Raw genomic sequence first — 13268 nt, forward strand, 5'->3', positions numbered from 1 at the left:
CTCATGTTTATCTATTTTACTCTATGTTTTCCCCCTAATTTCAGGTTCTAAAGGAAAAAGGGGAACTTTGGGATTCCCAGGTCGAGCAGGAAGACCAGGCCTCCCAGGTATTCATGGTCTCCAGGGAGATAAGGGAGAGCCAGGTTATTCAGAAGGTACAAGGCCAGGACCACCGGGACCAACGGTATATAGGCCACTGAAATATTTACATTTTAGTGGTGGAGTGAGTGCCTTGAAAAATATCAACAAGTACCCAGATTCGGTGTGGGCAGAGAAAATTGAAACTGTTACTATACTTTCAGACAGTTATTTGGATTTTTAAAATCCTATCTCCACAACAGAGGATGCTTGTCTGTCACAGAGCTGTCAACTTCTGAGAGCCTCTTTCAGTCACCAAGGAATTTCTCACACTGTCTCTGCAATTTAGGTGTGCTGCCAGAAGAAGGCAGTGATTACAGGCCCATACAATCAGATAGGACAGTGGGTTTTTTCTTGTGATACAAAGTGGCCCATTTCTGCTGTACTCATCTCAGACTTATAAAAATAAATTTCCAAACCTTCTAATAAAAAACACTTGTCGGCCGGGCGCGGTGGCTCACGCCTGTAATCCTAGCACTTTGGGAGGCCGAGACGGGCGGATCACGAGGTCAGGAGATCGAGACCATCTTGGCTAACATGGTGAAACCCCGTTTCTACTAAAAATACAAAAAATTAGCCGGGCGTTTTGGCGGGCGCCTGTAGTCCCAGCTACTTGGGAGGCTGAGGCAGGAGAATGGCATGAACCTGGGAGGCGGAGCTTGCAGTGAGCCGAGATCGCGCCACTGCACTCCAACCTGGGAGACACAGCGAGACTCCGTCTCAAAAAAAAAAAAAAAAACAAAAAAAAAAAACAAAAAAAAAAACACTTGTCTTACAAAGACTAACAAAAGATACAAAATAAAATAACTTTACAGCATCATTAGAAAGCGAACAAAATCCTAAGATAGATACATTTATCTTTCTTGTTTTAGAACTTTTTCTGTGTAATGGAATGGAAATGCTTAATCTTGTTTCAATGTTTTCAGTGTTTGTGCTTTGTCAAATTGAGGTTGGATGTTAAAGCCCTTACTACTGTATTATACAAAGCAGCAACCAGATGTTTCAATAGGGCTTGGCTGCTTTCTTAGGTTTATTCTCTTCCCAATTATCTGAGTACAGCTCTCACACTAAAAGCCAGAGATAGACCACTAGAGAATGATTAATAGAAGTTCCTATAAGCAGAAGTTGCTAACGTGGGATTCCATGGACCACTGGGAAAATCTATGGGATCCCAAGAAGCCCAGCAACCTCTTGAAACTAAATGCAAAATGTTTGAAAATGTTTTTGTAGGGTAGAGTCTATTTTTCAGATTTAGATTTTTAGATTTTCAACAGTATATGTATGACTCCAATATATAAAAAGTATTACTTAGGGAACCTTCTCCCTCTTTTTGGAGACAATAAAATACCACCTTTCCTAAATATTTCCACCAGCTATAGTCTCCAGTAGTAACTGCTAAAACAAGAAAAAAATTTAGACACTACACAGACCCAAGAAAGCAACTGTTTACTACTTGGAGCACAGACAAATGTCTTTGTTCTTTATATTTAGATTAAGTCCTCAGAAAACCTGAGATTGCTTCCACTGAGATATTTGCTCAACGAAAAATCCTATTTGACTTCACACTCAATTAACTGATAGTTTCATTTAGATTTAAAGTTTTCACAGGTAACCACCAGAATAAATTTTTAGAACTGTGCATTGAACACAAAATGAGCTGGTTTTATCATGTCAGCAAAATGAGAGTAACAGAGTAGTATATTTTAATTGGCTACCATAGAAATTTTGTAAATCTTTATCAAACCTATATGTTCGGGTTTGTCGTAAAACTGAAGTGAAGATTTAATGAACACTAAATCATTGGAAGGTTTTTAAAACATGTGATTGACATATGTGCATGCATAGCATTTGTAGGATACATCTTTATTTAGTCTATTTCTTTCTTACTCCCAGCTACTCATCACAATTTGTAACTATATATTTGTGTGATTATTTAATATCTATCTCCTTACTGGTCTCTGAAGCTCCATGAAGGCAGGGACTGTGTATGTCATAAATCTATATAGGTTACCATTATATCCTGGTAAAAGCTGGCTTCCTGGGTATGCTACCAGTGCAGTCACAGAAATCCTGTGCTAAGAAGGGCCTCCACACTTGGTCTGACGCTATGCTGTTGCTGTCTTGAAATTCACTTTAAAAAGTTTTAAGGGAAACTGCATTTTCATTTTGCACTGGGCCCCATAAACCATGTGGCCGTCTTATTCCCAGCACCTATCACAGTGCTGGCAGATAGCAGATACTAATATGAATTGATGAATGAATGAAAAAATTAGTGAATAAAGTTTATGCTGAATTCTTACCACATATCCTGCTTATATGAGAATTTTAAAGGTATTTGACTACATTTAAGGGGGATCCAGGACTGCCGGGTGATATGGGAAAGAAAGGAGAAATGGGGCAACCTGGCCCACCTGGACATTTGGGGCCTGCTGGACCTGAGGGAGCCCCTGGAAGTCCTGGAAGTCCTGGCCTCCCAGGTAAGGCTTGAGTTTACAATTCTAAAAGCTGGAAGCATTACTCAGAGTATAGCCCTCCTGAAATCATTGTGGTAAACAGAAAGCTATTTATACTTTTATGCTGCAGTTGCTTTTATTCAACTTTGAACTTCAAATTCTAACACACTAAGAGAATTCATTAAGAGAGCCCAATTTTACTAATCAGCCCATTTGGACTGAAATACAAAAATATGTTCCTATAAAAAACACTTTTGAAGAACTGCCTCAACAAATTCAGCCCAAGGATACAAAATGTTAGCCGTTATACAATCATAATGTTTGTATTAGTTTGTCCAGGCTTCCATAGTGAATTCCACAGACTAGGTGGCTTAAACTACACTTGATGTTAGCCAAAAGGCTGAGAAGTGATTAGGTGGCTTAAACTACAGATGTTTATTTTCTCACAGTTCCAGCAGCTCCGAGTCTGTGATCAAGCTGTCGGCAGCGTTGGTTTCTTGTGGGGCCCCTGTTCTTGGCTTGTGGATGGCTATCTTCTTCCAGTGTTTTCCAAGTGTCTGAATCTTCTTTTCTTATAAAGACACCACTCACATTGGATTAGGGCCCACCCTACTGACCTCATTTTAATTTAATTACCTGTTTACCAGCCCTATCCCCAAATACAGAGTCATGTTCCGAAGTACTGAAGGTTAGGACTTCAGCATATGAATTTGGGGACAACACAATTCAAACTACAACACTGTGCTGTGACTCTTTTTCGAACCCATTTCTGGATTGAATTTTGGCTTTCTGGCTTATTAGCTTACAATTCAGGTTTAGGGTTTTGTTTTATTAAAAACAACTGTGAAACTATCGGGTTGCAGATTCAGGTCTTACTTAAATACAATAAACTACCTGTTCAAATACAGAAAGTTTCAATAAATTTGCATTTAACTCGCAATTAAAATAAAATCGCATATTGAGTGGTGCTTGTGGTTGGTGTACACACATCTTTGAAAGTGATTAGACACATCTCTGCACTGGTTCTCCAGGAAAATTGCAGCCTGGACAAAATCATGGGGTGACCTTGCAACAAGAGAGCTTCCTTAAGGCCAGCGTGAGCATGGTTGACTATAAAAACAGACCGTTTCAGTCACTGTTGTAATCATTTATCTTTTGGTGATCTTTTTTCTTCCTTCCCCTCTCTTCATTTCCAGGAAAGCCAGGTCCTCATGGTGATTTGGGTTTTAAAGGAATCAAAGGCCTCCTGGGCCCTCCAGGAATCAGAGGCCCTCCAGGTTTCATTTTTGTACTTTCTCTTTTTCCTTTTCATGTGGGAGACACATTTTCTCCTGAGGTTTGGATTTCTGTAAACCTACTACTCTATAGAAGGTAGCTCCTAGTTACTCAGTATCCAGACAAAAATGCAAAAAAAATGGGGTTAGATATTTCTATCTATTTAATTCAAATATTTGGCAACCTATTCCAAACTGATAATCCTCATGATAATAGTAATCTGTATGTGGTTTTCCCTGGGAACATAGCTTCACATAGCTACAGTTCTGAAAAACAGCCTGTTTAACACAATTCCACACATCTCCCTGGTATTCCCATTAGGCCACTGGCAAGAAATAAATCCTCTTTTTGTATACCATAGTTTGGGGTTTTTGGGTTTTTTTTTTTTTTTTCAGGTCTTCCAGGATTTCCAGGATCTCCTGGACCAATGGGTATAAGAGGTGACCAAGGACGTGATGGAATTCCTGGTCCAGCCGGAGAAAAGGGAGAAACGGGTACAACTTGCTCATTATCTTTGATCCGTTAGTTTTATTTTGGATAGAATCATTAGTAACAGTGTAATCCTTTGCTGCTCTAAAGATTTTTCTCTGATAGAACTGATTATCTTTAACATGTTTTCGGTGTGTACTAAACTTTTCTCATAGACATATAATGTAATGAAATTGACCAATTATTAACATGCCAAGATTATCTCTTTCAGGTTTATTGAGGGCCCCTCCAGGCCCAAGAGGGAACCCTGGTGCTCAAGGTAAGCAGTTCTTCTTCCCTGTCCTAATGTACACATTTTCAAGGAGAGAAAGCAGTTGAATATGCTTGAAATATAAAGTAAGCTTAACCTAGTGAATTAAAGATGTTCCAATAGTAATACAGGATATTTATCATCTTGGTCTTCAATTTAAAATGTTTAATTATTACCATCACAACAAATGGAATGAATTAGAAACTGTGATTCAATTTTGGAATTTCCTACTAAGAAAGTCTTGAAAAGTAAAAAGGATTCTTCTGTATATGTCTTGCTGTTGTTAGCATGGTTTAAAGATACCACCTCCTAAAAGGTGAAGGTGGAACTGATGGGTTCTCAGTAAGCATCTGTCCCTGCTGTTCTGAGACACAGGAGTAATCCGAATCCTTTCCCACCTGTATCTTCATAGGTCTGACTCCAACCCCCAGATCCAGCTTGCGGTCCATGCTATTGTTTATTAAAGGCGACCCAGAGAGTCTCTCAACATCTCAGACATGGCAGTTTACTGAACATGTCATTCAGAGTATTTACAAGTTTTTTGTTTGGCAGGCCACAGATCTGGATTTCTCATGTCAGTGCTTTACAAGATAAACAGCTTCTTTTAACTCTTTTCCATTTTCTAGTCAAACCTTCCAGGAGAAACATCAGATTGTTTGCACATTTCATTGACCCGTCTCAGCCACGCGTCCTATGAATGGGAGCATTTCATTAGCAAAGAGGCCTAACACACTGAAGGGCTCTAGTTATTGATGTTCACGCAAACCAGCAAAGAGCAGCTGGATGCCAATGAGAAACTCAGTTGGGCAGGAACCACCTCTTGACAAAACAGTTAAAGTGTAAAAGTAGACAAGAGCTGTTCTCTCCCATTTGTTTCTTACTGGTTTGATTGTTCTTTCGGTTGAGCTCAGTCTTCCCACATCTCTCAGACCTCTCCTTTCCCAATGAGGATGAAGGCTCTTCCTGTTCCACAGTGTAGCTTTAGAATTTTGGTCAAAAGGAGAGTTGCTCTTCATGTTCCCAGGGTAACTCACAGTTTAACCATTTGGAATGAGAACACTAGCTTTTAACTGGAAATAAAATTTGGTATAAAACGGTCATACCTTAGGTTTAAAAGCCTTAAAACTAACAAATAGCCTAATTATGTAAGTGAATGATTATGCACCTCAATCCCTCTAGGATAACTAAATATGGAGAAGAGTTCATTGAGACTTGGAAGGTATGAATCCTTTTAATTAGTTTATTCTCCCAAATCCTAAAAAGAAATCATATTGCAGAGCATGTAATCATTTTAATGAACATGAAATATATAATCCAAGCCATCTTGGTACTTCAGGTCATTGCCATGCAAATACAGTATTACAAAGCTTGGAGTGAACTGAAGTCATCTAAGCACTTTCTTTTAAAAGCATAAATTACAGGCATTAAAAAGCTAAAGGATGTGAATAGACATAGGGCTAGATCGTCAATATTCATCAATTTTATTTTCATTGTAAGTCTTTACTATATAATAACTCCCCAAGCCCTCCCCTGAGCTATTAGCCTCCCTCTCCTTCTCCCTCTCCTTCTGCACATCTATCTTCCGTTTTCATGCCATTTACTGCTGCTAGAATAACACAGAGATGGGAGAGCAGAGGGAGACATTATTTGCAATTCATACAATATTTTTCATTCATGAATGTCAAAGCACAATTTCTTGAAGGTTTTCTAAGATGAAAAATATTAGTATTAACCTGTGACCTTTTTGGAGGGTCTTTGGTAAATCCAAACCTCCTGCCACTAGTATTCCTATTATGGGGAATGTGTGGGGAAGTTAACTAAAGGACAGAATAAAGACTGCAATTTTGTTGCTCCTTTGTCTGGATTTAGCTGGATAATACTTCAAATGCACACATCAGTGCTACGCAGTTTAGCTTCTTATGCTCTAATGAATTATCAGTGACTCAACAATGTCAACATGACTAAGTTAATCAGCTGATAATAACTGGCTTATATTTATATAACACTTTAGAGCTTACACCATGCTTTTATGTCTGTATGTTATCTCACTTGATCTGAAAGAATTAGCTAGAACAGGTATTACCTTCATTTTTTAAAATAAGAAAATCAAAATTTGTAATAGTAGGTAAATCTGAAGTGACTTTGCCAAGATCAGACAGCTAGTTGGAGACAGACTGAGTCTCAACTCAGTTTTTGTAGCTCTATATTGCATTTACCAGCAATATATTATAAAATATATATTTTAGAAACATATATTCTGAATCTGAACACTTTTAAGCAAAGTACCTACATTATTAAAGATAGTCAAGAACTCTAACCCAAGCATATGGGCATTAAAGAAACTTATTAAGCCTTCTTCTTTGCAGGAGCCAAAGGAGACAGGGGAGCCCCAGGTTTTCCTGGCCTCCCGGGCAGAAAAGGGGCCATGGGAGATGCTGGACCTCGAGGACCCACAGGCATAGAAGGATTCCCAGGGCCACCAGGTCTGCCCGGTGCAATTATCCCTGGCCAGACAGGAAATCGTGGTCCACCAGGCTCAAGAGGAAGCCCAGGTAAAGGGTTTACTTTTAAACAGCATAAAATAACAAAAATCATGTTTGACCTCAAAAGTTTTCAACCTCCTCCTCATGTTACCTTGTTGCTTCTTCTTTCCCTGTGGTCATCTCCATTCCCCCACTACCTGTGGTTCCCATACCCAGCAGTTGTCAAGGCAAGGTAGCCTGTTTGAGGGATGCATAGTTAATAAATTAACGAGCCTGGCTGGACGCAGTGGCTCACACCCGTAATCCCAGCACTTTGGTAGGCCAAGGCAGACGGATCACTTGAGGTCAGGAGTTCAAGACTAGCCTGGCCAACATGGTGAAACCCTGTCTCTACTAAAAATACAAAAATTAGCCAGTCTTGCTTGGTGGTGCATGCCTGTAATACCGGCAACTCAGGAGGCTGAGATGGGAGAACCTCTTAAACCTGGGAGGCAGAGGCTGCAGTGAGCTGAGATTGCGCCACTGCACTGCAGCCTGGGCAACAGAACAAAACTGTATCAAAAAAAAATAATTAGCCTAAAAGACAGTGATGCATTCATTCAACTCTATTTGTTGAATCCCTAGAGCTGGGCTAGGCTCTAGGGAAGCAGGCACAGACCCTGCTGTAACAGACCCTCACTGGGGAGAAGCAGATCCTGCTGGTGGGTGCCAGGTGCTTCGCTGGCATCATCTTCTCCTGTCTTTACCACAATCCCATCACATGCTCCAGGGGAAAGAATGTTTGTGGCAATGCTAAGTGAAGGGTTTATACTTCATTAGAAACAATCACTGATAAATAGAACCTTCCAAGCTCCCTGGCTGGCAATACTGACAGACTTTTCATGAATTCAGGTGCGCCTGGTCCCCCTGGACCTCCAGGGAGTCATGTAATAGGCATAAAAGGAGACAAAGGGTCTATGGGCCACCCTGGCCCAAAAGGTCCACCTGGAACTGCAGGAGACATGGGACCACCAGGTCGTCTGGTGAGTATGGATAATTATTTTGACTCATTATTAATTCAATATCAACTTATAATTATTCTTATATTGTATATTATATCATATATTGTTGATGTTAACTGTATTAGTCCATTCTCATGATGTTAATAAAGACATACCCGAGACTGGGTAATTTATAAAAGAGGTTTAATTGACTCACAATTCTACATGGCTGGGGAGACCTCAAGAAACTTATAATCATGGCAGAAGGCACCTCTTCACACTGCAACAGGAGAGAGAATGAGTGCCAAGCAAAAGGGGAAGCCCCTTATAAAACCATCAGATCGGCCGGGCATGGTGGCTCACGCCTGTAATCCCAGCACTTTGGGAGGCCGAGGCGGGCGGATCACGAGGTCAGGAGATCGAGACCATCCTGGCTAACATGGTGAAACCCCGTCTCTACTAAAAATACAAAAAATTAGCTGGGCGTGGAGGCAGGCGCCTGTAGTCCCAGCTACTCAGGAGGCTGAGGCAGGAGAATGGCGTGAACCCGGGAGGCGGAGCTTGCAGTGAGCCGAGATAGCGCCACTGCACTCCAGCCTGGGTGACAGAGTGAGACTCCGTCAAAACAAACAAACAAACAAAACCATCAGATCTCATGAGAACTCACTCACTACCATGAGAATGGCATGGGGGAAACCACCCCCATGATTCAATTACCTCCCACTGGGTCCTTCCCAGGACATGTGGGGATTATAGGAACTACAATTCAAGATGAGATTTGGGTGGGGACACAGCCAAACCATATCATTAACATTGACTTATCGTTAGTACAAGAGTACTATTATACTCTTATAAATTAATTGCCAGATCAGATGGGCCTGGAGGCAGCAAAAATTTACAATTTTTGATGCATCTGTGCAGTGTGCCTAAGGGAACACAGTCCAGAAGTTTCTGAAAATCAAAAAATCTTCAGAGTTGGAATGATTTGGCCTCTAAGAGGCCTCCAAAACTTTGGTCTGTATGGGACTCACCTCTACAGCATTCCAGATCCTTGCTTATTTAGACCCTGAACAAGTCCAGTGACGGAATCTTCAAAAAGCAGCTGGGAGTTCAGAATCACTCTAAATGACATTGTCACTTTTCCCTCTACTTACAGGCTTCTGAAGATTTCTGCATTCCCCTGTAAATGCCTATTTATTTTCTGCCCCCCAAATGCCTGCCAATGTTTCTAAATAACTGCCATTTCTTTCCAATTATTTTATTCCTGGATAAATACTTGGTTCTTTCAAATTCAGTTTAACTATTTATCAGCCTTGCCTCTATACTGAATACACCCTAGTTTCAATCGCCCTAAAAAATATAGCCTCTGGAATGAACGCCCTCCAGAAGTAAGAAGTCAATACCCCAGTGAGTGGCTAAAGGACAGAAGGGTCTACTGTCCGGAACATCACCATTTTAGGAATCAGACCTAAAATTCCACTTGGGCCATTGGGCTGACCTACCTGTCTCCACATTGTGCCTGTAATCAACTAAAGCCCATGGGCCTTTTCCTCATGAACTGCTACTAAGTTTTCTCCATTATTTCTTGCCTAGCTTGTTGTTGCTGATGTTTATTTGGGACTTAAGTGTAGAACTTTTACATTTATCAATCTTAGACATCATCTTATTCATTTAGGCCTGTGCCCCAAGCCTGCAATCTCTCAATTCATATTCTCTCTCTCAACACCACAGCCGTCGTCCCTAGCTTTCTCTTAGCAGCGTATTAGACAAGTTGACCCCTCTGTTTACATCAAATCCTTGGAGACAGATGTTGAATAGATGAATGTGACTCAGGGATCATAACTGAGTGTCTACTCTGTACCAATGGATAGAAAAACAAAAAGCTACAGTCCCTTGCCCTAGAGGAGCCCACAATAAAGTGAGGGTGATAGACACAGAGACGGCCATTTTCACACTGTGTGGTAGGAAGAATGCAGGGGGCTGTGGGGACACAGAGGAAGGGTATTTAATCCAGACTGTAGAGGGAAGGTGTTCAGGAAAGGTCCCTCCCCAAGGAGATTGATGCCTGGCCTGAGTCTTGAAAGACGCATAGGAGTTATCCAAGAAAATAGGAAAAGCCGGGGTATGGGTCGGGTGGAGGAAAGGAGCTTTCTGAGCAAAATGACAATGGGTGTGTGTGAGTGACACACACACAACTCTATTACTGGAGCTGAGGTGGGAATGAGGACACCTTGGGAGGAGTCTGGAGGGCTAAGCAGGAGTCAGGTAACGGAGGTCTGGTTTTCTAGACTAAGAAGAGGGAGGAGGACATCACTTGCTGATCCAAGAAACACTTAACAAAGCAGCTCTTTGTGCCCAGAGTTTGCTCTCTACCAGCTGGAATTAATCCCTTAATGAACTGCCTTTTGATGTGGCTATTCACCAAGCTTTAAATCTATCCTTGTTGCTCTATGCAGCAGCCATTTTGTCCACAAAAATATAGTAGAGAGAGCTACCATGGCACATGGCACAGCTCTCTCTACCATGTAAATTGTCAGTGTAAATACATTGACAATTCATATGTAAATACAGAACATCTATGGTATAACTCATTTTGTCCTCTACTAACCTCATCAGTGATGCGTAATGAGGTGCTTTGCCATAGCTCATTGTTAGGAATCGCTCTTAAGTACTCTTGGTATTTGATTTCCAGAATCTAACTTTAAAAGTTTTTTTGAAAAATGACATATTTGCCCATCTTCAGTCTGTAGGTGTCTCTCATGTTCTCCATGATTCTTTGAAAGTTGCCAATTTGATCCATGATTACATCTGAAGACCTTCCAAAGGACACTGGGATATATAAAGCTTGGTTTGGAAACATGATCTTACTTAACTCCTCTGGTGATTTCGTGGTCATTCATAGGCTTCTATACTTACAGTTGAAAGATATTTCTTGATGGATGTCTCAACTGGCCTGGGGCCTTTAACAGCTCCCTCCTGCTGCCAGGGATAACCCTGGCAACATGCCCTTTTTCATAGTTACCTTAGCCTCAAGAGAACAGGCAGACATCAGAAGCCAGCAAGTCCTTGACCAGATGGTTCTGTTTTGTCTCTCTCCTTTTTTAACAACACTTTATCCAAGCAATCAGATGGTTCCTTCTTTGGTCTTCTTGCTCCAAAGATAGCTGGTTCAAGGCCAGTTTTATCCTTGGCACTTTTCATGACCTTCAAAGCACATTATTCTCAGGTAATAGCATTATCTCAATTCACATGGACAGTATGAAAGTAGATTTAGCATACATTTTGACAAATAGCTCTTTCCAGAAGCCCTGCTCCCTCCTCCCTCCTTCTATGGCTTTGCTTGAGCATCTCCTGGCTATAAGACCAGTTCATGTGAGCCTCACAAGAAGAGAGCACCTCGTTCCTGCTTAGATTATTGCATCCTTGTCAAATATGCCTGTCAAATACTCTCTCTTGACAACTCCTGTACACTCCCATCCCTAGACATTACTTCTCCTACCATCATGATCAAGTGTAATTTATGGCTCTGCTAGCTTAGTGAGAATGAAGCTTAGGTGCTGTAACTCAACAACGGTTTTGTTGTCTTTGCAGCAATTATAAATACAGATTATAATTTTCATTCTGGGCCAGGCATGGTAGCTCACTACTATAATCCCAGCACTTTGGGAGGCCGAGGTGGGCAGATCATTTGAGGTCAGGAGGTCGAGACCAGCTGGGCCAACATGGCGAAACCCTGTCTCTACTCAAAATACAAAAATTAGCCAGGTGTGGTGGTGCATGCCTATAATCCCAGCTACTTGGGAGGCTGAGGCATGACAATTACTTGAATGTGGGAAGCAGAGGTTGCAGCAAGCCAAGATCATGCCACTGCACTCCAGTCTGGAGGACAAAACGAGACTCTTTCTCCAAAAAAAAAAAAAAAAAAAAAAAAAAAAATCATTCTGGCAGTACTGGGCTACTCCATTTAGGACACAGAATATCCAGTTGAATCCAATACTAAAACAACATACACCAACATTAGAAGGTATGTTTGCTGTTGGGCTTAAGGGAAGCTTTTGTTTTACTTTTAAAACGATAGTCCTAAGGAAAGGTTCTAAGTGGCCAGAGGAGTTATAGCCTTGATTGAAAGATAAAAATGATGTCTGCTAACTTCAGCTTATTCTCACCCAACATAATATTATACCCTATTTGCATTTTTAAAAAACTGCTGTGAATTGAGTGATTTTAAAAATTTGTTTTGGTTCTGCTCCCTTTATTTGAAATATAGGGAGCACCAGGTACTCCAGGTCTTCCAGGACCCAGAGGTGATCCTGGATTCCAGGGGTTTCCAGGCGTGAAAGGTACTGTTTTTGTGCATTGCTCTTTATATGCAAATACCATAACCTCAATTCATATTTTAGGGCACACAAGTGTTTGCTGAAGTACAGACAGCTGGGGTTAGTACAAATAGGACCTCAATACGAGTGAAGTAGGAAGGCTCCACTACACTATTTCAAGATTCTTTGAAATAGAGTATTTCTTCAGATCAATGGCTCTCGGTAACCTTCTTTTATTTGTGTAAAAGACTGTGATTGGAAGAGAAGTCTTACCACTTTATTAGTTCACATCAAAGCAAATATTCTCTATGTGCTGAAAAGAACTCCTAACGTAACTAACTCTAGGCTATTAGTAAAGCTAGAGTAATAAGCTGAGAAAGTAGGTAACTATGACAACCAAGCAATATAATTCACCACATGGTAGAACAGGTTTTAATGTGACTTTGTATGTTACCGTAAATATCAAATTGGTTTCTGAACTCAAAAAGTGGACTCTTAGGGACCCTTCCCCTTCAATGTTAAAATACAAGTTCTTAATGCCTACTTCTGGAATATATTTCTTTACAGACTCATTAAGCATGACCTACTGGGTCCCAGTGACATGCCAAAACCTATGTGAACAAAATGAAATTGTAGCCCTTGTGACAGAACCCATAGGACAGAGCCTCCAGGCACACTTCTAGTATTTGTCCTTAGAGTCAATCATCAACCTGAAGAACTAGGAAACCCATTGATCTAAGTGGAATCACACTGTGTCTTTGTTTGTTTTTAGGAGAAAAGGGTAATCCTGGATTTCTAGGATCCATTGGACCTCCAGGACCAATTGGGCCAAAAGGACCACCTGGTAAATAAACGTCCTTACTATTGCTGTCAATGAAGAAAGG

At 40.9% G+C, this 13268-nt stretch overlaps 1 protein-coding gene and 1 long non-coding RNA gene across 9 annotated transcripts in view; one reads left to right on the forward strand and one right to left on the reverse strand.

Moving 5' to 3' along the window:
• COL4A3 (collagen type IV alpha 3 chain) overlaps nt 1-13268 on the forward strand; it is a 150169-nt gene that overhangs the window by 126079 nt on the left and 10822 nt on the right. For 4 of the 8 annotated variants that reach the window (NM_000091.5, XM_005246277.4, XM_011510555.2 and 1 more), the window contains 9 exons: nt 45-184; nt 2489-2615; nt 3788-3868; nt 4262-4360; nt 4567-4614; nt 6972-7157; nt 7980-8110; nt 12336-12408; nt 13157-13228. In NM_000091.5, coding sequence (NP_000082.2) covers nt 45-184; nt 2489-2615; nt 3788-3868; nt 4262-4360; nt 4567-4614; nt 6972-7157; nt 7980-8110; nt 12336-12408; nt 13157-13228 — 957 coding nt within the window. Of the gene's footprint in view, nt 1-44; nt 185-2488; nt 2616-3040; nt 3499-3787; nt 3869-4261; nt 4361-4566; nt 5825-6971; nt 7158-7979; nt 8111-12335; nt 12409-13156; nt 13229-13268 lie in introns of those variants that run through there. The other 4 variants (XM_006712245.4, XR_001738601.2, XM_017003295.2 and 1 more) reach the window with 4 other exon arrangements.
• The window catches only part of MFF-DT (MFF divergent transcript), a 104113-nt gene that overhangs the window by 69651 nt on the left and 21194 nt on the right, over nt 1-13268 (reverse strand). The window lies entirely within an intron of this gene.

Source organism: Homo sapiens, chromosome 2 (genome assembly GCF_000001405.40).
Source record: "Homo sapiens chromosome 2, GRCh38.p14 Primary Assembly".
NCBI lineage: Eukaryota > Metazoa > Chordata > Mammalia > Primates > Hominidae > Homo > Homo sapiens.